The sequence below is a fragment of the Homo sapiens genome, chromosome 2, assembly GCF_000001405.40.
Source record: "Homo sapiens chromosome 2, GRCh38.p14 Primary Assembly".
Lineage (NCBI taxonomy): Eukaryota > Metazoa > Chordata > Mammalia > Primates > Hominidae > Homo > Homo sapiens.
This window is the reverse complement of record NC_000002.12, coordinates 181,661,150-181,685,975: the sequence shown is the minus strand read 5'-3', so window position 1 is coordinate 181,685,975 and position 24,826 is coordinate 181,661,150. Positions and strand designations below refer to the sequence as shown.

The window sequence follows — 24,826 nt, the reverse complement described above, 5'->3', positions numbered from 1 at the left end:
AATTCATTTTGGTTTTGAAGCTGTGTGGCAAATAAGTGCAAATATTGGAATAATGACTATCTTTTTGAAAGCTATTCAATTTATGATTTCTGTCTTTGTTTCAGACTAGCCAGCTCAAATTATAGTTTAAGCTCTTTCCTTGCCCCTAAATCTGGCTACCTAGTTTTATAGGAAACTTACTGTGAATATGTGCCTAATTAGATGCAGACTTACAGGTCTCTTTGACTAAAAGCTCAGTCATGGCGCCCCATGTTTTTTGTTTGTTTGTTTTTGTTTTTGAAACAAAGCAAACAGGGAAGAGTGGAAAGGAGGAAGGGAAAGAAAGGAGGAAGAAGGGGAGGGAGGAAAGGAAGGAAAGGAGGAGGAAGGGGAGGGAGGGAAGGCAGGAAGGAAAGGAGGAAGGGAGGAAGGAAAGGAGGAAGCAAGGGAGGAAGAGAGATTTTTGCTGAATCTAGTAGGCCGAAGGTCAGGGCCGTTGGAGTGGGAATTGTCCACGGTGCTGATAGGTTGAGGAAGTCATTCCTTCCACAATTCGCCTGGGGCCCTAAACCTGGTTTGCCCGCGTTCCTCCCGTGCCTTTAGGAACTTGTCCGGGTCCTCTCTCCCAACCCACTGCAGCAACCATTGTTCTTGCGACGCTCCGGCGCCGTCGGTGTGTCTCGGCTCTCCACTCCTGAAGCTACACACAGCTACCGAGGATTTTTGTTTGCTTGCTTCTTTCTATTAAGGCAAAGGTTGGCAAATAGCGTGTGCTTGTCAGTTCCCTGGCCCTGCGATCCCCTTTGGACAGCAAGCTGTTCCTCGATCCCCGGGAAACAGGTGTGCGCCCTCTGCTCACGCTCCTCACCCGAAAGCAGGTGCGACCGTGGACATACACTTAACACTCTCACACCCATCCACTTATGCCCACTTTCACATACACATTCACATTCATTGACACACACCTGCACACACTCATATGTTCACATACACACTAACAATCACACACTCATTATATGCACACACGATTTGCACACACATTCACATAATCTTGCACACACACGGATTCACACACGTACATTCAAGTGCAATCACACACTTTTGCACACACAGGGCATCGGACGCACGAGGCCTTGAGCAATTGTGCCCGTGACCTACGACTGCCAAGATACTCCTACTGAGTTGATTTTACGTTGTTGATTCTGAGTGTTGGATGGTTTAAGGAAAGCCCCTGGATCCTGACAGGGAATCAGAGACAAGTCCTTCCAAGGCCTGTGGGAGCCGACAAAGGAGCCACCAAAGCCCCGTCGGGACCGGGAGGGCATAAATAATAAATAAAAAGGCCCAGGCAGGCCGAGCTGGGGAAGCCCGGCACTAAATCACTCCCTAAATCACAGTCGCGTCGTGCTCCATCCAATAGCTCTAAGCGATTTGTGGGGTTGGGGGTTGAAATCAATTTTTTCCGTTCTCGCAGGTGCAATATGAATCAATTATCTTAATTAAGATTATGCCGCAAGCCCAGGAGATTTGGGGAGGATGGGTTTTGCGCTCGGGGCGACGGCGAGGCATTTTAATAGCGTCTCTCGTTGCTCTTGGCTCTCCCGGGTCGCCTGCCTGTCGAGCCTGGGCAGCTCCAGCCTCAGGCCAGGACCCGGGAGCCCAACTGCCTCCCCCGGGGCGGAGGCGCCGCGTCGGCGGTCTGGTCAGAACCCGCATCAACCCCCCTTCATCCCCCGAAGCTCTCAAGAGCCTCCGAGCTACCCAGCCTGTGCAGGACCTGCAGCTCTCAGCCCTCCGTTCCTGCGGCCCCTGAGCCCCACGGTCTCGCGGGCCCCTCAGCCACCCGGCCCCCTCACTCCGCTCTCCCGCGCCCAGGCCCCGACACCCCACTCCTAGGCAGGGCGGGGAGAGGACGCGGGAACCTCTCGAGGTCGGCCGGGCTGCCCTGGCCACACTTGATCCTTTCATTGAACGCAAACCTCCCTTTGCAAGAGCGAGCATCTGTTTCCCTGAGAAACAGGTCACCGCCAGGGACGCCGGCCCGGCCCCTGCGCTTTATCTTGGCCCTGTGAATGCTTCGCCCCCGACCTCCCGCTCCCCGCTTTCGCCTCCAGCCACACGCTTCCCACCCCCTACGTCCGGGCCACACGCCTCCATCCCTTCCCCACCCCCATCCTCCCACATGCCTCCCCCTTCCCCTCCGCCCGGCCCAGGCCACACTCCCCTCTCCCCACCCCTGGCCACACGCCTCCTCCCGCCCCCCTTCCCGCGGGCGCTCCGGCTGCCGCTGTAACGGCCGGGACGCCCGGCCCGCGCCGCGCGCTCAGAGCGGGGACCCGGGAGGCGGCAGATTTGGGGCATTGCTCGAGGGCAGTGAGTCATGAAAGAGGCTTTTGTTGTCCGCGCGTGCGGTTCGCGTGCCGCTGGGTAGCCTGCAGCGCCCAGTAGGGACGGGAGCTGGGGGAGTACAGCTAACGGGCAGCGAGGGGAGAGACAAAAAACTTAGGGAATCAGGAGGGGGAAAAGTGTGCAACCGTCCAAACAAGTCCAAAGAGAAGAAAATAAGGAGGAGGAGCGGGGCCGCGGAGAAGGTCCTCAGTGCTAAGCCCCGCCGCGCCTTCAGCTCTGTCCTCTCCGGGATCCGGCTGACTCTCTTCTCTCGCCCCAATTTCTCGCGCCTTCAACCCCAAACAAAACGCACCTCAATCCAGGCCGTGTCCAGGCTCCTCTTTTTAGGGCCTTACTACCCCGCATCTCCTGGGAGCCTCGCGGGCACTGGCTGAGCGTCGCGATGCCGGCGCCCCGGGTCGAAATTTTCCGCGCAGAGGAGGGTCACATCGGAGCGCTGCGGGATGGGAAGCCCAAGGACAGCTACCGTGAGACCCAACCTCAGCCCTGTCTCTGAAACATCCTGGAGTGGCCTTTCCTTTGTACAAATCTCCAGGCCTGAGCGAACAACGCGCAGTGGGATTAGAGATGAATTTATCAAGGGTAGAGGGAGGAAACAGACTAGTAATTCCCGCACTTTACGCATTTGAGTCTCCGTCTGGCAAAACACTCGGGCGTCCCTCTTGCTCAAGAACATCTGACTCCACCATAATTCTCCTGTATTGCACAGGATGTCGCGAACTGGAGGTTTCTGCTTTCTGGGGGTGAGGACAAGGATTTAGCAGAGGGACCTCTAGGCTACCCCTGACCTCGAAGCTAGCTGGAGTCCTTTCTCCCACTCCGTCCCCAGTTCTCCTCCGGAACTCCCCAAAGTTGGAAAAATGAGAGCCTAGGCACGAGTTGCATATGCCTGCGGCATAGTGTGCTGCCAGTCGGGGCAGCTGCCGGGTGAGGGGCAGTACTTAACCTGGCCCTGCCGCAAACGTCGGGCTGTGTACTATCTTCTAAGGGCTAGTACTCCGACGCCCTCGAGTTTTAGCCCAACACTGAAGATACAGACAGTACAGGGGTAAATCCTGGGCCCAGGCTCCTGGGTGAATTATTTTATCCTCCCCTATGCGCTTTGTCAGCCAAGTGAATGTAGAAAAGCAAGCAAAACTCCAGAACCCCACAACGATTCACGCCACGCTTCGGTGGCACAACTCTTTTCTTCCCCTTTTAGATTAGTACTGTGCAGGGAAGGCTGCACCTGCTACCTTCAGACACCGGGGATCTGGCTAGGACCCTCTTCCTCTACCCCTACTCTCTCCTCCCGTCCCCACCCTCTCCCAGATGCACCCCAATCCAGCCTCTCAACCCTGTCGCTGTTTGCAAACTCGAGGGATGTTTAGTGCAATTGCCTTTAAATAAGCAATTCACGTAAGAGGTATTTATTGCAGAGGGTTTCAGGTCTGGGAGGGGGTAAGGAGTTAGTTAATGAAGGATTAGAGGCAAAGCTGGGAAAGAACGAGTAGACAGGCCAGTTTCTTTCTTTCTTTTTAAAATCTATTATTCTGGAAAACCCTTGTTCGAAAAGAGTAAAGAATTGCTATTTGGGCAACAATATGGCTCCTTCAGAACTGGTCGAGAATTTCTGTGGTCTTTGCTTGACCTTCAAGTTGGGAGTTTCAAATCAGAGGCTTTGAAGTCTGGAGGAGTTCGCAGCCATTAATCCTTCCGGGGTTGTGCTAAAGGCGTTTCTAGAAAGAGATCGGAAAGACCCGTTCAGCACAGGCCCATTGCATCTTCTCTTTGAAAACGCTTGTCTGAATCAAGTATCTTATACAGACCCGAGACTGAGGGGAGCAAGAGCGCAGGTCCGGCTGTGGCGAGGTGTCCACCACCGTACTTGTGGTCAATGCCTGGACTAGAGAGCCGAGGCCGTCCAGGGCGGGCTGGCCAGGGAACCAGAAGCGTCCCTGGACTGGCTGAGTGAGGGTGCCCTTTCCAGCAACCCAGTGGCCATGGTTAAAAGGCAGAATACAACCGTCAAAGAAGTCCCCAGCTCCCACATAAGAGAGCGCAAAGGCCAATGGAACCAAGGCCTCCTCGCGAGAACTAGCTCGCTTTGAGGACAAGATCCTGGGGATGGAGGTGGGGACTGACGTAGTGAGAGGGTCTGGAGGAACAGTCGTAGCTGAAGGTCAGGACATGAAGAATTGCACGTATGGTAGGGATAGAATGGCAGGTACAACTTTTCTGTACTGAAGGAACTGGGAGAGGACGATCCGGTTAGGGAGGTTGGGGAACTAATCTCAACGCTGCGTTTACAGATGAAGCCGCTTTTATATGGCGTATATGTTTGCTTAGAGGGGCCGACGGAGATTAGGAGAAGCCATCCTTTGGCGCCAATGATCAAAGCGTCTGCCAAGGAGAAGAAGCCAAGGGATGGGCCTTTCAGAGAGGGCAAGGAGTCATGCTGCTCTGGATGCCAGTGTCAGGACAAGAAATCGAAAGGAGCGAGGACTCTTCACTGCGTGCCTCAGTCTCCCCGCTTCTGCCTCTTTCACCTCTGTCCTACTTCCGGCGCGAAAGCAGGCCACTCGCTCTGATCTAGACCTAGTTAACATTAGCTTTTCCCTTCCTTCCCTCAAATCCCCTCCCCCCTCTATCCCCGTCCCTTCTGCCGCCTGAAAGGGTTAATCTCTCCTGCGGGTAAAAACAGGTCCGCGGAGTCTCTAACTGGCGACAGATGGGCCACTTTCTTCTGGCCACAAAGGGGCCGGAATGGAGCGCTCCGCGGCATACAAATGGGCAGGTCACGTGGTTCCAGGCTCTTGGCTGGACCGGGAAGACCATATGGCGCATGCCGGGGAGGAAGGAGGAGGGGCGGGGGTAGGGGTGGAGGGTGAGGGGAGCGGTTGTCGGAGGAGGGCGGGAGACGAGCAAGGCGTGGGGAGAAGTGGGGAGGAGGGGAGAACGGGGAGCGCACAGCCTGGACGCGTGCGCAGGCGTCAGGCGCATAGACCTGCTAGCCCCTCAGCTAGCGGCCCCGCCCGCGCTTAGCATCACTAACTGGGCTATATAACCTGAGCGCCCGCGCGGCCACGACACGAGGAATTCGCCCACGCAGGAGGCGCGGCGTCCGGAGGCCCCAGGGTTATGAGACTATCACTGCTCAGGACCTACTAACAACAAAGGTAATTACAGTTCTTTCATTTTTTTGCCCCAGAATAGAAGCAATAACTGAAGACTGATGAACCTACATATTCTGTATGTGTGCGTTTGCGAGAGTGTGTATGTGTATTGAGACCAGCATCCCCCTCCATAATTGCCCATAAGTACTCACACATAATGAGTCGTGTCACTCAAGTACCCCCTGCAGGCTTTCTAATTTAAATTTTAAAAATTTGGGTTTCTTTTGTGGATAGCATAGGAGCTTCTTGGATTTTTTAAAAGAATGCACGGTAACTATGATTATCTGCTAGTGCTGATTTTAAAGTCCCAAAAGCAATAATGACTTCACTTTCTCACTTCTTACAGTAAGAAAAAAAAATCTATGTTATCAATATATATTTTGTGTGCATGTATTTTACGCACATTGGGAGTGTCAAGCTGTGTTTTCAGTGAATGAAAGGGACATGGATACCTTGAGTATTCACACCATGGAAAATAAATCAGGTTCAGAGATAGTTTAGTTGAGAGGGGGGAAAGTGGAGAAAGGGAGAGGGACTCACTCCTGCTACCTGTTACCGCTCCAGAGGCGGCCAAGTCCCCAGCAGCCACTACTGGAGCCAGAAATTCAGTTGTTTTACTAAAGGCTTTTTATTTTCCTTACTAGAAGCGGCAACTTCGCGGTTGCCAATCGCTGACCATTATAATTACTCAATCTTTTAAAGGGAGGTTTGAGGCGAACTTTGAAAAGCCCCAATAAAGAGCGGGCGGCCCTTTCAATGGGCTGTTTATTAGAGAGGAGCCTTCCGCACCTGATCCCCGGCGCGTGGGAGAGCGCTCTGCGCCGCGCCCCCAGCCCTCGCCCTGCAGCTAGCGCTTTTGTACAAGGTGGAAATTTAGCGGTGGGCCAGAGATGGAAGGCAAGAAAAGAAAGGCGAGGGAGGGGTGGAAGACCCTGTCCACTTTTGTTGCCAAATGTTACATTGATGGTGAAACAATTTGGTGGAAACTATTTTTCCTCCTTTCTGCATTTGCTTTTCAGTATCCCGTCGATGTAATCTTCTTAAAAATCGCTGCCAGTATTAGTAAATTACGCAATGGCTGTTCAACTTAAATCGCTAAGTATCTGGAAGCCAGGACAGAAATGGAAGTAGAATGTGTGATTTTACAGCTTTTTTTTTTTTTTATGGAGTTGTGAGTAACTTTGAACACATTTGGATAAACATGAAGTCGCTGAAATGTACAGTCATTTCCACACACATTATCCTGTCGGGCAACCACCATAAACACATTTAAGTTAATCACTAGGATACAAACACATATGCGTGAGTGGTGTACACATATACATATTCACTACCCTCCCCCAGTCCTGTCCTCACTCCTACGTACTAGCGGGGCACACGCACGCGCCATTATAAAACACTGCATTTAACTTTTTCTCAGAGGCATTCATTTTGTAATGGGCAGGTACTTTTCGCAAGCATTTGTACAGGTTTAGGGAGTGGAAGCTGAAGGCGTATCTGGCTTTTGAATATAGCGTTTTTCTGCTTTTCTTTCTGTTTGCCTCTCCCTTGTTGAATGTAGGAAATCGAAACATGACCAAATCGTACAGCGAGAGTGGGCTGATGGGCGAGCCTCAGCCCCAAGGTCCTCCAAGCTGGACAGACGAGTGTCTCAGTTCTCAGGACGAGGAGCACGAGGCAGACAAGAAGGAGGACGACCTCGAAACCATGAACGCAGAGGAGGACTCACTGAGGAACGGGGGAGAGGAGGAGGACGAAGATGAGGACCTGGAAGAGGAGGAAGAAGAGGAAGAGGAGGATGACGATCAAAAGCCCAAGAGACGCGGCCCCAAAAAGAAGAAGATGACTAAGGCTCGCCTGGAGCGTTTTAAATTGAGACGCATGAAGGCTAACGCCCGGGAGCGGAACCGCATGCACGGACTGAACGCGGCGCTAGACAACCTGCGCAAGGTGGTGCCTTGCTATTCTAAGACGCAGAAGCTGTCCAAAATCGAGACTCTGCGCTTGGCCAAGAACTACATCTGGGCTCTGTCGGAGATCCTGCGCTCAGGCAAAAGCCCAGACCTGGTCTCCTTCGTTCAGACGCTTTGCAAGGGCTTATCCCAACCCACCACCAACCTGGTTGCGGGCTGCCTGCAACTCAATCCTCGGACTTTTCTGCCTGAGCAGAACCAGGACATGCCCCCCCACCTGCCGACGGCCAGCGCTTCCTTCCCTGTACACCCCTACTCCTACCAGTCGCCTGGGCTGCCCAGTCCGCCTTACGGTACCATGGACAGCTCCCATGTCTTCCACGTTAAGCCTCCGCCGCACGCCTACAGCGCAGCGCTGGAGCCCTTCTTTGAAAGCCCTCTGACTGATTGCACCAGCCCTTCCTTTGATGGACCCCTCAGCCCGCCGCTCAGCATCAATGGCAACTTCTCTTTCAAACACGAACCGTCCGCCGAGTTTGAGAAAAATTATGCCTTTACCATGCACTATCCTGCAGCGACACTGGCAGGGGCCCAAAGCCACGGATCAATCTTCTCAGGCACCGCTGCCCCTCGCTGCGAGATCCCCATAGACAATATTATGTCCTTCGATAGCCATTCACATCATGAGCGAGTCATGAGTGCCCAGCTCAATGCCATATTTCATGATTAGAGGCACGCCAGTTTCACCATTTCCGGGAAACGAACCCACTGTGCTTACAGTGACTGTCGTGTTTACAAAAGGCAGCCCTTTGGGTACTACTGCTGCAAAGTGCAAATACTCCAAGCTTCAAGTGATATATGTATTTATTGTCATTACTGCCTTTGGAAGAAACAGGGGATCAAAGTTCCTGTTCACCTTATGTATTATTTTCTATAGCTCTTCTATTTAAAAAATAAAAAAATACAGTAAAGTTTAAAAAATACACCACGAATTTGGTGTGGCTGTATTCAGATCGTATTAATTATCTGATCGGGATAACAAAATCACAAGCAATAATTAGGATCTATGCAATTTTTAAACTAGTAATGGGCCAATTAAAATATATATAAATATATATTTTTCAACCAGCATTTTACTACTTGTTACCTTTCCCATGCTGAATTATTTTGTTGTGATTTTGTACAGAATTTTTAATGACTTTTTATAATGTGGATTTCCTATTTTAAAACCATGCAGCTTCATCAATTTTTATACATATCAGAAAAGTAGAATTATATCTAATTTATACAAAATAATTTAACTAATTTAAACCAGCAGAAAAGTGCTTAGAAAGTTATTGTGTTGCCTTAGCACTTCTTTCCTCTCCAATTGTAAAAAAAAAAAAAAAAAAAAAAAAAAAAAAAAAATTGCACAATTTGAGCAATTCATTTCACTTTAAAGTCTTTCCGTCTCCCTAAAATAAAAACCAGAATCATAATTTTCAAGAGAAGAAAAAATTAAGAGATACATTCCCTATCAAAACATATCAATTCAACACATTACTTGCACAAGCTTGTATATACATATTATAAATAAATGCCAACATACCCTTCTTTAAATCAAAAGCTGCTTGACTATCACATACAATTTGCACTGTTACTTTTTAGTCTTTTACTCCTTTGCATTCCATGATTTTACAGAGAATCTGAAGCTATTGATGTTTCCAGAAAATATAAATGCATGATTTTATACATAGTCACAAAAATGGTGGTTTGTCATATATTCATGTAATAAATCTGAGCCTAAATCTAATCAGGTTGTTAATGTTGGGATTTATATCTATAGTAGTCAATTAGTACAGTAGCTTAAATAAATTCAAACCATTTAATTCATAATTAGAACAATAGCTATTGCATGTAAAATGCAGTCCAGAATAAGTGCTGTTTGAGATGTGATGCTGGTACCACTGGAATCGATCTGTACTGTAATTTTGTTTGTAATCCTGTATATTATGGTGTAATGCACAATTTAGAAAACATTCATCCAGTTGCAATAAAATAGTATTGAAAGTGAGAGCAATTGTTGCATTTCTTCTTAAAGGGATTCTGTTTTTATTTTTGGGGAAAGTAGTTGCTTTTTTGCTGAGTTAAAAAATACTAAACACTATATGTAGAATAAAAGAAAAGAAAAAAGTTTACCTTGGCATATGCTCTTGTCTGTTTATCTTGCACAGGGAGTCACCAGTTCTATGTAGATAATGAAAAGACCTAACTGATATTTCATTATTTGGAATATGGGACTGGACGGCAGTACAAACAGTGTGTTTTTTTCTTTGTTTTAAGTGGCTTAGCCTTTAGGTTTTTTATTTCCATTTTTAAAAATGATTGTTACATGTTTTCTTCTATTTCTTTTTTTAAAAGGTGGATTTTAATAATTATTAACAAGCAAGACATAAACAAGTATCCTAGCTTAGTTTGTCTATACATTTAAGATGTATAAAACATTACTATTTTCTTGGTCTTCTGTTATCTGTACATTTTTCTGAACTAAACAGTTTTATCTTGCAAACTAGTACTGTCCCAGAAAAATTTATACACCTTTAGGAAGTACCAAAGGGAAATGAGTTAATTAATTTAAAGAATCCAAGAGAAGTAACATTTTATAATTGTTCTATTAACATCTTGTGATGATTTCCATCATTTTTCCAAGAAAAAGCATAATGGATTATTTGTACTGAAGAACACACTATTTGTACTGTATTTAGGAAGGTGTAATTATTTCCTCCCCCCACCCTTTGGGGCACTATTCTGTTGTTTCATGAACACAACTCACTGGAAAAACTTATGGATGATTCTGTCTATTGTTAAGTCCACTTCAAAAAAAAAAAAACAGTTTGGCATTTCTTTTCCTCTGGATGTATTGACTGACAGTCATGATTCCTAGGGAATATCATTTTGGCACTTGTGCCCTGGCTCTACTGTGGTGCTCTGATTACTGTCATTAGTAACTCCATTGTTTCTACTCTGATTCGGGTGCCACATTGGATGACTACCCCCCTTCCCAAGCTTGTTCCTTTAATCTCCTTCTCATTGGTGATTTAGGGGTTCCAGAAAGCTGACCTCATTTAGCAAGCTGCTCCAGAAAAATGTGAGTAATGTAATGGACAGGAACAATTAGCCATACTAATAACATTGCCAATGAGGCTGCGTCAAGCTGTGACAGAAGCAGTAAGGAATACTTCGACGTTAAAAAAATGTTTGAGAGCAATTTAAAATATATTATTTTAACATGTTTTCTATCAGCCTTCATCACATGACAGAAATACTTTTAAGTTAGTCCCAACTTTATCTAAAATGCAGCAATCTCATTCCAAGTGAATCAGAGTTGTTATTTTGGAATCAAGCTGTTGCTTTCTATATCCTGGATTGTTCTCACTGTTCTTACTTTAAGAGACATAATACTGATATGATACTTGAATACTACCAGCCTTCCAGTGTAGGAGGTAATGAAGTGAGCATTCAGATCTGATCTAACCTATTAAGTAGCTCAATTTCACCTGCAATTAAAATTAGACATCTTCATGCAAACTAAAATCTGTTGCTGTAGTGAAGAGAAGAAATAAAAGAATGCCATTTTGAGAATTCCAGCTTCCAAAATAGCAAACAGGGAAATCTAGACTGTGTTCTTTTGTAAGGTAGAAATGAAGACTAAAAGTTAGGTTTTTTTTTTTTTTCTTCCCATTTTGCCAATACAACTTCATTCTAAAACATAGGGATTCTTTCAGTCAGTCAAGGAGTAACTCACATGCCACCATCTTTTATTCAAAGGCAGGCACAGATGTTCCTTCTGCAGGGGAGGATTTAATTTATGAAAATGATATTGTTTATGCATGAATGAACTGCATGCACTCTGCATAACACATAGCACTTCCATCTGATCAGAGAAATACCACAGAACCAGTGCCAATGTCAGAAACATATTCTACAAATTTACTCACTTAAATGTTTAATGAATATTTGGAAGGCATTTTCAAACCATAAGAAACATTTTAAATTATCTTCTTTTATGAATTCCTACCCATATTTAAAAGAGACTCTTACAGTTTTTGTAATTGGCTAATGCTTATACCCAGTTTGTAAGAAAAGAACATATTTTACTAAATGAAAACCAACCAAAAAAAAATGCTGGCAAGTTTGGCTTCACTGGAAAAAATATTTCGTTTAGTTTTGCTGTTTAATGCTTGTCATGAATAATATTTGGGATTCTATCTGTTTCTTCATCTTGAGCCACGACTATTCCTATCAAATAAGATGCTTAGGTATACTTGTTTAATGTGAAAATCCTATGAATAGTTATTTCTAGAAAAAGCTGGTATGTAAAATCAGGGGGAAATTTCATAAAGATGAAATTGGGCTAAATATTGTAACATGCATAATTACTATTGAATAGGAACACTTCACATAACATATTTTACTTTATATAACCAATTGCAGCTATATAGTATGATCTATCTACTTTTAATCATTAAAACAATTATATATAAATTAAAATGAAAGATTATAATATCAAGAGTGTTCTACTAATTTTAGGTTTATAATATGTTACAGTAAAATACCATTTGAAATAAATTTTGTGTTCTAATTTATCTTAAAATCTCTCTGTTTTTACATTTGAAAGTCCTTACATTCTTACAAAATTAATGCATTTTCTGAAAGAAGCTAGCAATTACTAAAATGATATATGGATCATTAGCTAACAGTTTGAATCAAGCTGTTTTAGTTCTATAATTATACAAGAAATTTAAAGTGAAAATACCTATTAAGCAATTAATAAAACTAGGTTTCAAAATATTGGCTAATTTTCTCCTAATGGGAAATGTAAAATAGCAAAACTGCTTCTTAAACTACACAAAAACCTCCTCACTTCTCCTTTTCTCTCTCTCTAACACCACTTATTTCCTGAAAATCATCTAAATAAAATATTTAATTCCAGGGTCTGATGAAGAATAAAAGAGCCAATGCAACATCTTGTGGAACACCAGGACTGAGAACTCTTGTTGTTACCATTGCAAAGAGGCGTTCTGGCGTCAGATGCACAGTGATTTGTATGGTGGCATAATCATTGGCTCCTGGCCAGGCATTATGTTTCAGAGGACACTATTGTCAAGAACCATTCAACTAGAAATCTGCACTGTATGCACTCAAAAGTTGAGATCATCTGCCTTCCTATGACAGGAAGAATTCTGTGCTGGCAATTGACTCATGGACTCTCTTCACATACACTAAGGCTTGGTCCAGTGGCTCTGATGGAATTAACTGTGCAGCCAAACTAGTGGCATTGACAAGACAGGGCCACAGTCTCTGGGGACTTCAGGAGAAATTGCTAATTTTAAAATGCAGAGTATTATGTTAATGCTGGATTAAATCTTCAGATACATTAAATGTGGATTTGGCCATCTAAGCATTATTATGTTATTTGCCCAGTTAATTTAGAGGTAGATGGATGGTGACAATAACCATCTCTACAGATCCACAATTCTAAGAGATGGATCCAATTGTGAAATGATATGGAGAGATAGAGTAAGTTCAATCTAGCATATATGAAGTAATTTGGTAACTGACTTTTCTTTTAACAAGATCAAAAGCTAACCTGCTTTACACTTTCATGTCTAAGGACAGCCAACCAGAGAGATGGCTTCACACACTAGCCCACTGCTAAGTGCTTTTCATTCACTTTCATATTTCATCATCAAAGCACCCTCCTGCCTTATTTATAGATGGGGAAACTTCAGGAAGTTGAGATACCTAGATATTTGCATTCCTGTCTTCCTTTCTTCATTCAGGTTTTTCTTTCATTGCCACTTCCTCAAAGAAGCTTTTACTGATTCCCATTTAAAATAGCAACTGACTTCAACTCCACCAAAATCACTGTATTGCCCCTCCCTCTTTCCAGAGCATTTGCCTATCAAATGTTATCTTATGTATTTACTTGTATAGCTTAATTTTAAACTATCTATCTCTAGGTCTTCTGAGCACCTGAGAAACAGAGACAAAGTTGTCTCTTCTGTGTGTTGCTGTTCCTCTGGTGCTTAGAAGACCTAGAGGATCCTCAATAAATATTAACTTTCCAAGGGAACTGAAGAGCACTAATGTGATGCTAAAGCCTGTTGCCTTAACCACTATGCTATAAGTCAAATCAGTTGAGAATGGAGAGGACCACAAATTATTTTCAGTCCAGCAAGTGTTATAAACATTAATTCTATAAAAAGAAAACAATTGAAACTAATTTCTTATTATATTGCATGGCACCAAACTCCCCCCACTTCCTTTTTGAGGATCATGAGTTGTCTGTCATTGTTTCTTTTTATTGATATCAATTGGTTAAATATAATCTGGAATTGGAATAAAAGAAAAACTATTATAGGCTTTTTCCAGACCATGTATTTCAATGCATATTATTTTTTCCTTTCTGTTCATTATTCTTTCAGTAATTGCACTTGTTCTATTTTTAGTGTTATGTAAAATTACTGTAGCTCATAATTTCTATTTTGAAGGGTTCAGTGTATAAACTTAGCACATCAATACTATCTTTTTAGTGTTCGCGCTCAATGGTGTCAGTTAAGAGATCACCATCACTTTTGGTGACGTCAATGAAGGGGTATTGCAATGCTTAAGAGAACTGTTAATCCCTTTCCACTGGTGTCACTAACAATTGTAGTGCTTGTTTATTCATAGCAGGTACGTGACTAAGTAATGTTAACATCAAAGCAGAAAGAGGATAATAGAGTGTTCTAAAAAGAAAATTCGGTGGTTGGGTGCAGTGGCTCACACCTGTAATCCCAGCACTTTTGAGAGGCCAATGGGGGTGGATAGTTTGAGCCTAGGAGTTCAAGACCAGTCTGGGCAATATGGTGAAACCTCGTGTCTACAAAAAATACAAAAACTAGTGGTGCATGATGGCATGCATCTATAGTCCCAGCTACTCGGGAGGCTCAGGTGGGAGGATCACCTGAGCCTGGGGAGGTCAAGGCTGCAGTGAGACGTGATTGTACCACTGTACTCCAGCCTGGGTGACAAAGTGAGACCCTGTCTCAAAAAAAAAATGATTTGAGATAACATCACTTGTCATTGTTTGTTAACTGAATAATCTTTATTCTAGCCAGTGCCTAAATACATAATAAATGATAGTACAAATGGATATAAATTATAACTAAACCTAAGTAGTGATATTTATCACAATATTTCTTTACTAGAAGAATTTCTTTGTTAATAGAGGCAAGGCTACTTGTTTAGATACCTTAAAATAACATAAGATTTTTGGATAAATAAATTAATGATTCTTTGATTCTGACTGGCATATTAAAAATATTAAGCGAAGAGATCTTTGCTTCCCAGGTTTTATTTTTTGTCTAATTAACTACTGGTGCATTTATATTAAAACATATTGTCAAGGGAAAACGTATATATATATATGTGTATATATGGTGTGTGTGTGTGTGTGTGTGTGTGTGTGTGCACACATATGCTATACTTGGTTGAGTAGTATCCCCTTCCCTTGCCCACCTCTCTCCCAAATTTATGTCCATCCAGAACCTCAAAATGTGGCCTCATTTGAAATATTGTCTTTCCAGATTTAATTAAGATATAAGATGTAAATTGATACAAGTTCATGCTGGATTACGGTGGGCCCTAAATCCAATCACTGATGTCCTGATAAGAAGCAGACAGAACACACAGACACACAGCATACAGGAAGAATGGCATGTGAAGGCAAAGACAGAGACTGGAGTGATGTGTCTACAAATCAAGGGGCCCCAAGGATTTGGGGCCCACATCAGAAGCTGGGAAAGAGACAGGAATTCTCAGCTTCTCCTTCTGAATCCCTAAGAAGGAATCAACCCTGCTGACACCTTGATTTTAAACTTCTTGTCTCCAGAACTGTAATATAATACATTTCTGTTGTCTTAAGCTACCCAGTTGCTGGTGATTTGTTATGGCAGCCCTAGGAAACTGATAGGTATACTAAAATCTCTAATGAATTGATGTTAAATATATATAAGTATAGGAGAGTTCATTTAAATTCTTCTGAAAATGTCTTCTTAAACTTTTAATGATACAGTATATAACAACCAGTATACGTAGTTGGTATCGGGTTTGACATTTAAACAAGCTGACAAAAAACAGCTGTTTAATAAACATCTGAATTATATAAAAGTTTTATTGTTTATTATTCATGTGAATGACTTAAACTGACATCTACATTTAGTGAAGTGTGAATGGGCCTAGCCAATAAACTATGGGTAATTTTTTTAAAGTCTCATCTTTGAACTCACAAAAAATTATCAAATATCAGCTATTATGTATTCTTCATGTGAAGAAAATGTCATATTTATTTGATTTGTGGATTAGCATATATATTAATAGAGCTTTTGAAAGAACAAATGTAGCACTTTCCCGATTTCATAGACACTCATTTAACACACAAGTTCATATTTTAAAGTACATAATTTTAAAAAAATTCTAGTCCAAATGAATTTAAGTGCCATGACTTCTAAAAATTCTGTCTCTATTTTTGGGTTTTATAGGACCTTGAGCCAGTACTCTTCTGGTGAGCTTAAGAGGCTAAGACTTCACCTTTAGTTATATGGGGCTTTCATCTGATTATTTGTCTATTTTGATTGCTCTAAATACAAGTTAGTGTGTATTTCATCTGAATGTATTTCATTATAAGTTTTGGTTTTATGTAGATCTGGGGATCTGTCTTGTTTTTAATCTTGATTGGTCTGTTTGTTTTGGGATAGTTGGTACTTTCATTTCTTATGCTTGCTTTCTTTTTCATTTTGTGCCCACCTTTAGTCAGGTGAACATCAGTAAGGAATAAAATTTTATTTTTTTAAGCCACTGAAAAAATTTAAAAACCACATCATAACTCTGCCTCTGCTGACTGATAAAAATGCTAACTTATTAAGACAAAATGTTATGCAAGAAGACTTTATTGGAATAGAGAAACATCCTTTTTATGTAAGAAATATCAACAGAGACATGTGCCTTTCTTGTGACAAATGTGGTATGTGTGTGGATTAGAGGTCTGGAATGTGGCAGCATTTCAGTACTTGGAGGGGAGAATTAGAGTAGGGTAGAAAGATAGACGGGGAGCAGAGGATGATTCTCACCCAGTAGAAAGCAGAGTGAAGAAAGAAAGGGGAATTGTTTTTTGCATTATATTATTTGAACTGTGGATTAAGTCTTTCCATAAGCCATCCCTACGCCTCTAAGTAGGTTTTATTAACTTAAGCTGGTTTGAGATGGGTTTTTGGTCACACACAAGAATTGCCTGATACAAGAGAGGCTTTGATTTTGTTGTTGCTTGCTCATTTTTATACACTAAGATGGAGAAAACCCTGGACATAGTGAAGACGAAATTGAGGAAGGTGTTGGGTAGAGTGGAGGGTAGAAGACCTGTAACATAGGTACAGAATTACATTAAACTGGAAGGACTTATATCCAGATATAGGAGTCAGGGTAGAAAGAGAGAATGTTAGCAGTAAGGGTAACAGAGTAGCAGAAGTTTATTCTTACCAGGTCCTGTTATGTGACAGTGGAGGCATGTTGACCTTCTGACTAGGGGAGTTAAAGGAGAACACTGAAGGTTTAGAATAATGTCTCTAAGGATAGAAAGAGAAAGTTTCATCAAGACTCATCAATAATAGGGCAGCAGGGCTTAGGGCCAAGCAAATTCAGAGACCATGATATTATAGTAGTTTGTAGTGGTCTTAATCCATCTAATTTTTCAGCATTTTCTCAATGGCCAATACTTAGCAGTGGTAGTGTTTTATGGCATTTGGACAACAGAAGTGAAAGCACTGGTAAGAGAGACGTTGAAGTGAAACACCATGGGGCTCAGAAAAGCAGAGTTGATCCATCTGGTACATGGGCAAGGATGGTCCTGAACAATTCTGCAGTAAGTTGGAAGATAGAAAAAATACCTAACGAACTTGTAGATCTGGGTAAGGAGATTTTTGGCAGAATATTGTAAGGCTAATTGGCTTCTCTTAACTATATGAGATAGGGTTTTACAAGGGAGAGATAAGCGAGCATAATTTAGAAGAACTATAGGGGGTCCCAGGCAGACTCTCTGGCTGGAAAATTATTCTGATAGCAAGAAATTAGCCCCAAAGCAAAGATGAAAAGTAGGGTACTTCCAATTAAACATGTCATAAGGGCAAGCCTCAATCAAGAGTGTGGCTAGAAGGCACAGCTCACCTGGACAAAAGTGCTTCTAAGCATATTAGGAGCATATACCACAATAACCTGACTTGGACCCAAAGTTGAGAGAGGCCAGTCTCAAAAAAATTTGAGGGAATTGCTTTTGCATAATATGATACTTTATATACATATCTGTTACATATCATATATATCATATTAAAAAGAAAAAAAACCCTGTTTTTCCTTCCGTTCTTTCATATAACCCTTCTGACAACAAATGTGGAGTTTTTCACACACTAAGCAATTCTTTAGTTCTTGCTGGACACTTCCTGGATGTCCTACAATTCAACTCGATTCTCACACAACTGCCCAGAGTCAGTGCAGACCCGCAGATTAAAGGCTTAGCCCCAAAAGACTACCCCCCACTTTAGATGTCAATCACAAGTCTCAACTTCATTTACTTCTGAAGGACGAGCTATACATTGGAGGAAACCCCTCTTTCTTTCAATAATTTGCTAGAATGGCTCACAAAACTCTGGGAAACATTTACTTATGGTTACCAATTTATTATAAAGGATATAACTCAGAAACAGCCAAATGGAATAGATTCATAGGGTGAAAAATGGGGGAGAGGCATGGAGCACAACTCTCTCAGCACCTCCATGTGTTCACCAACCCAGAAGCTCTCAGAACTCCTTCATTTAGGGCTTTTATGGAGCTTTATCAAGTAGGAATGATTCATGAAATACTGGCATTGGTGATTAACTTAACCTCCAGCCCCTTTCCCCTCCCTCAACATTGGGGGTGAAGCTAAAAGTTCCAACTCTGTAATCACAGGGTGAGCTTCCCTGGCAACTAGTCCCCTGATCCTTAGGGGGCTTCTGAAAGTCACCTCATTATCATAAACTCAGGTGTGGTTGAAAGGGATGTTTTGAATAACAAAAGATGCGCCTTTTTCCTTTATCTTTCTGAGTTGTTTCAGGAGCTAGGGACAAAAGACTAATACTATAACAACAACAACAAAAAATTCAATTTTTGCTTTTATCTCTTGGGAATTACAAGGATTTTAGGAGCTCTGTCCAGAAGCCAGTGATGAAGATCAAAATACATATTTCTTATTATATCACAATTCACACATGTACATGATATCCGTAAGATAAGTGAACTACATAAAGTAAGCTCACAAAGTTTCTGTAGGAGTTTTGTCCATTTACAAACAGTTTGTAAGCTAAAAGTATCTGTGACAAGCCTCAGTCAATTTAGAAGTTCATTTTTCCAATGTTAAGGACATGCCTGTGACACAGCCTCAGAAGGTCCTGATGACATGTGCCCAAGGTGATCAGGCTACAGCTTGGCTTTATACATTTAGGGAGACATAAGACATCAATCGATACATGTAAGATGAATATTAGCTCAGTCCAGAGAAGCAGGACTACTGAAAGTGGAGGCTTGCAGGTCACAGGCAGATTCAAAGGTTTTCTGATTGGGAATTGGTTGAGTTATTATCTTAAGACCTGGAATTAATAAAAGGGAATTTATCATGCAGATGAAGCTTTAGGTAGCAGGCTTCAGAGACATTAGATTGTAAAGGTTTCTTATCAGACTTAAAAGAGTCTGTTCTAACAGTCTTTAGGTCTCAGTGTTGATGTTAATGCTGGTCAGCTGTGCCTGAATTCCAAAAGGGAGGAGAGTATAATGAGGCATGTCTGAGTCCCTTTTCCCATCATGGCATGAACTAGTTTTTCAGGTTAACTTTGGAATGTCCTTGGCTGAGAGGAGGGGTCCATTGAGATGGTTGGGTGGCTTGGAATTTTATGTTTGGTTTACAAGTTTAACATTAAAAGCCTCTGTACCTCCAATGTTTTATGGACAAAAAGAAGGCTGAAAAAGCTACTTGGCTGTAATCATGGGCCATTTCTTGCTGAAAAGAAGAATAAAATGGAGGCAGAACCAAAAGCCCAGAGGCTAGAGCCAAGAGCTGCTGAGAATGATGAATTAGGGAACCACTCTCAGAGAGCAGATCTGGATGTGAGATAGGAACATTTTCTTTCTCAGGGTCTATGAAACTGGCAACATATGCTCTCCTGAATTTCAGAATTGCTATGGACCAGTGACTGTGATATGCTTTCTATATTTTTCCCTTTTGAATGGGTGCATCTATCTTGATTATCCTCTGTCTCATTATTGTATGTTGGATTTGTGTGGGACGATAACATGTGTTTTTAGTTCCTAGGTTCCCAGAATAAGAGGAGCACACTCAAAGAGCGACATTTATGAGATACTGGATTTTTCACTTGATATCATAATTGGGTGAGACTTGAAAGAAAGTGAACATATTTTGCAAATGGGAGGGATGTTAACCACTGACAACCACACCCACAGGGTCCACTGTATTAGCCTATCTGCAAAGACGGCTGCCAAAAATTCCTTCTGTCCATATATACATTCCCTTTTTTAATGTGACTGTTTCACCTGCCAGCAACTGAAGGGCTTTATTTCCATTTCCCCTTGTGACTTGTTTGACTAACAGCAAGAAGCAAAAGTAATGCTATTCCAATTCTAGACCTGGGCCTTAAGAGGCATGACAGCTTCTGCTTTTACTCTCTTGAAACTCAATGTCATTTTTTAAAAGCTCAGGCTAGACTACTCATCATGAGGGACCACATGAAAAGAGATAGGCCCAGCTAGTTTCCACCCATTCCAGCCGCTCCAGATGAGATGCCAGACATGCAAATGAAGCCATCTTGGATATTTCAGCCCCAGCTGAGCTTCCAGCTAAATGTAAGTACATTCAGTTGATACCTCATAGAGCGGAACTACTGAGCTGACTTCATCCAACTCACAGAATCATAATGAATAACAAATCATTGTTGCTTTAAGTCAATACATTTAAAGTTTTTTTGTTATCCAGTTGTAGATGAATTATACAGCCTGGGGGGAAAAAGGAGATAGCACACTGTTAGTTGCCTCATCAATATTCATCCCCAAATTCTTTTTCCTTTTTAGTAGGTCTCACCTCCCACCTGGAAGCTGAAAACACCTTTCCCAGTCTCTCTGGAAGCTACAGCACAGGCATGTTGCCCAATTCTAAACAATAGGACATGATAGGAGGTCTGCTGGGTGGGATTTTTGAAAATATTTTTTTTTCTGGTTAAGAAAAAAGAAATGCCCAAGGAAAACCTACAAATGCCCCTTCCATTCTTGCTTTTGGACATTTTTTGGGAGAGGGTATGATGCTTAGCACTCCTGCAGCCATCTCGGGGCCAACAATAGAATCCTTGTTGCTACCTGGTGATAGTGAAGTAGAAAGCTACAAAGCTCTTGATTTCTTTTCTTTTTTTTTTTTTTTTAAATTTTATTATTATACTTTAAGTTTTAGGGTACATGTGCACATTGTGCAGGTTAGTTACATATGTATACATGTGCTATGCTGGTGCGCTGCACCCACTAACTCGTCGTCTAGCATTAGGTATATCTCCTAATGCTATCCCTCCCCCCTCCCCCCACCCCACAACAGTCCCCAGAGTGTGATGTTCCCCTTCCTGTGTCCATGTGATCTCATTGTTCAATTCCCACCTATGAGTGAGAATATGCAGTGTTTGGTTTTTTGTTCTTGTGATAGTTTACTGAGAATGATGATTTCCAATTTCATCCATGTCCCTACAAGGGACATGAACTCATCATTTTTTATGGCTGCATAGTATTCCATGCTGTATATGTGCCACATTTTCTTAATCCAGTCTATCATTGTTGGACATTTGGGTTGGTTCCAAGTCTTTGCTATTGTGAATAGTGCCGCAATAAACATACGTGTGCATGCGTCTTTATAGCAGCATGATTTATAGTCCTTTGGGTATATACCCAGTGATGGGATGGCTGGGTCAAATGGTATTTCTACTTCTAGATCCCTGAGGAATCGCCACACTGACTTCCACAATGGTTGAACTAGTTCACAGTCCAACAGTGTAAAAGTGTTCCTATTTCTCCACATCCTCTCCAGCACCTGTTGTTTCCTCACTTTTTAATGATTGCCATTCTAACTGGTGTGAGATGGTATCTCATTGTGGTTTTGATTTGCATTTCTCTGATGGTCAGTGGTGATGAGCATTTTTTCATGTGTTTTTTGACTGCATAAATGTCTTCTTTTGAGAAGTGTCTGTTCATGTCCTTTGCCCACTTTTTGATGGGGTTGTTTTTTTTTTCTTGTAAATTTGTTTGAGTTCATTGTAGATTCTGGATATTAGCCCTTTGTCAGATGAGTAGGTTGCAAAAATTTTCTCCCATGCTCGTGGGTAGGAAGAATCAATATCGTGAAAATGGCCATACTGCCCAAGGTAATTTACAGATTCAATGCCATCCCCATCAAGCTACCAATGACTTTCTTCACAGAATTGGAAAAAACTACTTTAAAATTCATATGGAACCAAAAAAGAGCCCGCATCGCCAAGTCAATCCTAAGCCAAAAGAACAAAGCTTGGAGGCATCACACTACCTGACTTCAAACTATACTACAAGGCTTCAGTAACCAAAACAGCATGGTACTGGTACCAAAACAGAGATATAGATCAATGGAACACAGCAGAGCCCTCAGAAATAACGCCGCATATCTACAACTATCTGATCTTTGACAAACCTGAGAAAAACAAGCAATGGGGAAAGGATTCCCTATTTAATAAATGGTGCTGGGAAAACTGGTTAGCCATATGTAGAAAGCTGAAACTGGATCCCTTCCTTACACCTTATACAAAAATCAATTCAAGATGGATTAAAGACTTAAACGTTAGACCTAAAACCATAAAAACCCTAGAAGAAAACCTAGGCAATACCATTCAGGACATAGGCATGGGCAAGGACTTCATGTCTAAAACACGAAAAGCAATGGCAACAAAAGACAAAATTGACAAATGGGATCTAATTAAACTAAAGAGCTTCTGTACGGCAAAAGAAACTACCATCAGAGTGAACAGGCAACCTACAAAAGCTCTTGATTTCTAATGACATCATATGGGATGAACCAACCCAGGAACAGCCTGACTCTGGACCTCTTTTAATGTCAGAAATAAAATCTTATTTGTAAACCACTCTTAGTTGTTCAGGTTGTTGACACAGGCACTGAAGTGCCTCCAAATGGTGATGAATAATGAGGCAAAAGTCAAAGACAGCAAGTCTAGTGTCAAATTTTTTGATGCCTATGGGTAAGAAGTTCAAGAAAGTGAGCTATTTTCTTTCTTTTTAAAATTTATTTTTATTTTTGTGGGTATATAGATGTATACATTAGTCAGCTATTTTCAATAGTGAGAAGGGATGTTGCCACTTAGTATAATGCCTTTTTCATAGCTATCATAGAAACCATATATACATATAGTATAGAAAATGAGGATAGATTTCTGACTTAAACTGCCTATTTCATTTGTGTGCCTGGTTACACCTAATTCAAGACTCTACAATACAGCATTGCTAGCAATTACTGTGAGAATATTTCAAGCTCCCTATTTGCTGGAAATACATTTCATTTTTTTGTTCCAAGTTTATGAATATTAGAACCTATCTAAAAAGGAGCTTTTAAAAACTTGAGGAAAGGAAAAGGGAGGGCCTACTTTTCTTGCCTGTGTTATTTCTTGTTACTGCTGATTGAGATGCTAGAGATCATATTGGGTGAGATGTGTCTTAGAATACAGCTGAGCAATTCACTTTTAACAGTTTCCATCTGAGTACAAAAAACTGGTATGTGCAGAAAACTTGATATTCTGACTTGGCGGGATTCTAGGATTTGTTCTATTTTTTTCTGTAATTGTTGTAGGGACATATGGCCCTGTACCTTTTGGGCAGCAGGAGCCAGAATAGCAGGAACATTCTGACAAAATTCCCACTCAGCATGAGAGGGAAGCAGTCCCCTTGATACACTGATGATGTGCCCACTTAGCATTACAAGTGTTTGAGAGGTGGACACAACTAAAACTCACCTCACTCAAAATATATATTGACACGGAGAAAGTAAATACAATTTGCTGTTATTAACCTTTCTTCTCACCATTGAGACATGTTAAATATCTGAAATTAATAAAGGAATTAAATTTAAAAAGTTTACTTATCATGCATTTAACACATTTATTGAGCATCTGTTATATAAATGCACTGTTTCAGGCACAAGAGATAGAGCCATAAATAAGCAGATTAAATCACTATTCTCAACTGAGGTACTAATCTGATATAAGAGAGGAGACAGAAATAAGTAAACATTATAAATCAACTACATACTTTTACATGGTGTAAAGTGCAATTAAGAAAATATTATTGAATAGAGGTCAATTTTGGAATGGTTGGGCAGGGAAGACCTTCTGAGGTGACAAGAAGTTGGCCTGGGCACCATGGGGAGCTCTACCATGGTGAAAAGTGTTCCAGACAGAGTAGACAGCAACAGCAGAGGCCCTAAATGAGAATGCACTTGGCTTATCTGGAGAGTAGAATGAAGGCCAGTGTGGTAGGACACATACTAATAATAGGAGAAAACTGATAGAAAAGAGGGTTTGAGCAGGTGGGCAGGAATTGGACAACATGGTGTCTCATATGTCATAATAGAAGTTTGGATTTTATTCTACCTGCAGTGAGAAGTTCTTAATAAAAAAAAAATTCTATAAACTGGAGTTTGAGAAAGAACTATGTTGATGATAGCATAAGCCCTCAATCACTTGTCACATAAACTCCAAACTTCAGCAGAGACTCAGGGAGATCAAAGGGACTACCACAGGATTACCCACTGGCTAAAATTCAGATCCATGGCAGTTGGTCCTGACTGGAATTAGACTTCCTTGTCTGTTGCCCTCATTGCAGTGGGTCTGAATGTCTCTGTCGGCTGTGAATTTTTCTCCCTCTATCTGTGGCACTGAGAAGGTGGCCCAGACTTCCAGAGTCTGTCTCATTGGCCTATTACTTGGGGATTTGCTGCCCTTCTTCTGGAAGTTTGGGTATTTGTTTTCAGAGCATACTTAAAGGCCTCCTGAAAGCAATGTTAACAATAGCAGGATATATTTTACAGTCTTCTACTCAGACTTGGATTTTTAAGAACCAGGGATGGAGACTGTGTTTCCAGATCTAGTCAAATCCCTTCCAAACATAAAGCAACAAAGTGCCTTTTAAACTAGGACCTGTACTGTTTAATGCTCTGGAAACAAATACCCAAGCTTC

General features: G+C 42.0%; 1 protein-coding gene across 3 annotated transcripts, besides 2 other annotated features; it reads left to right on the top strand.

Annotated features, from left to right (window-relative positions):
• Positions 1,931 to 2,506: an enhancer, noted in NCBI's record as "H3K4me1 hESC enhancer chr2:182548197-182548772 (GRCh37/hg19 assembly coordinates)". NCBI's record gives its function as "activates a minimal SCP1, AML or CMV promoter by ChIP-STARR-seq in naive H9 embryonic stem cells {active_cell/tissue: H9 hESC(naive)}" and the evidence as "EXISTENCE:reporter gene assay evidence [ECO:0000049][PMID:30033119]".
• Positions 4,233 to 4,809: an enhancer, noted in NCBI's record as "H3K4me1 hESC enhancer chr2:182545894-182546470 (GRCh37/hg19 assembly coordinates)". NCBI's record gives its function as "activates a minimal SCP1, AML or CMV promoter by ChIP-STARR-seq in primed H9 embryonic stem cells {active_cell/tissue: H9 hESC(primed)}" and the evidence as "EXISTENCE:reporter gene assay evidence [ECO:0000049][PMID:30033119]".
• Positions 5,459 to 17,681, top strand: NEUROD1 (neuronal differentiation 1). Of its 3 annotated transcripts, none has more exons than NR_146176.2 (2): positions 5,459 to 5,546; positions 15,067 to 17,681. NR_146176.2 is itself a non-coding variant. In NM_002500.5 (2 exons), the coding sequence occupies exon 2, from the start codon at positions 7,116 to 7,118 to the stop codon at positions 8,184 to 8,186; it is 1,071 nt and encodes a 356-aa protein (NP_002491.3). In that variant the 5' UTR covers positions 5,459 to 5,546; positions 7,105 to 7,115; the 3' UTR covers positions 8,187 to 9,509. The 3 variants fall into 3 exon arrangements, 1 of the variants encoding a protein (NP_002491.3); NR_146175.2 differs by lacking the exon at positions 15,067 to 17,681 and adding an exon at positions 12,429 to 13,876; NM_002500.5 differs by lacking the exon at positions 15,067 to 17,681 and adding an exon at positions 7,105 to 9,509.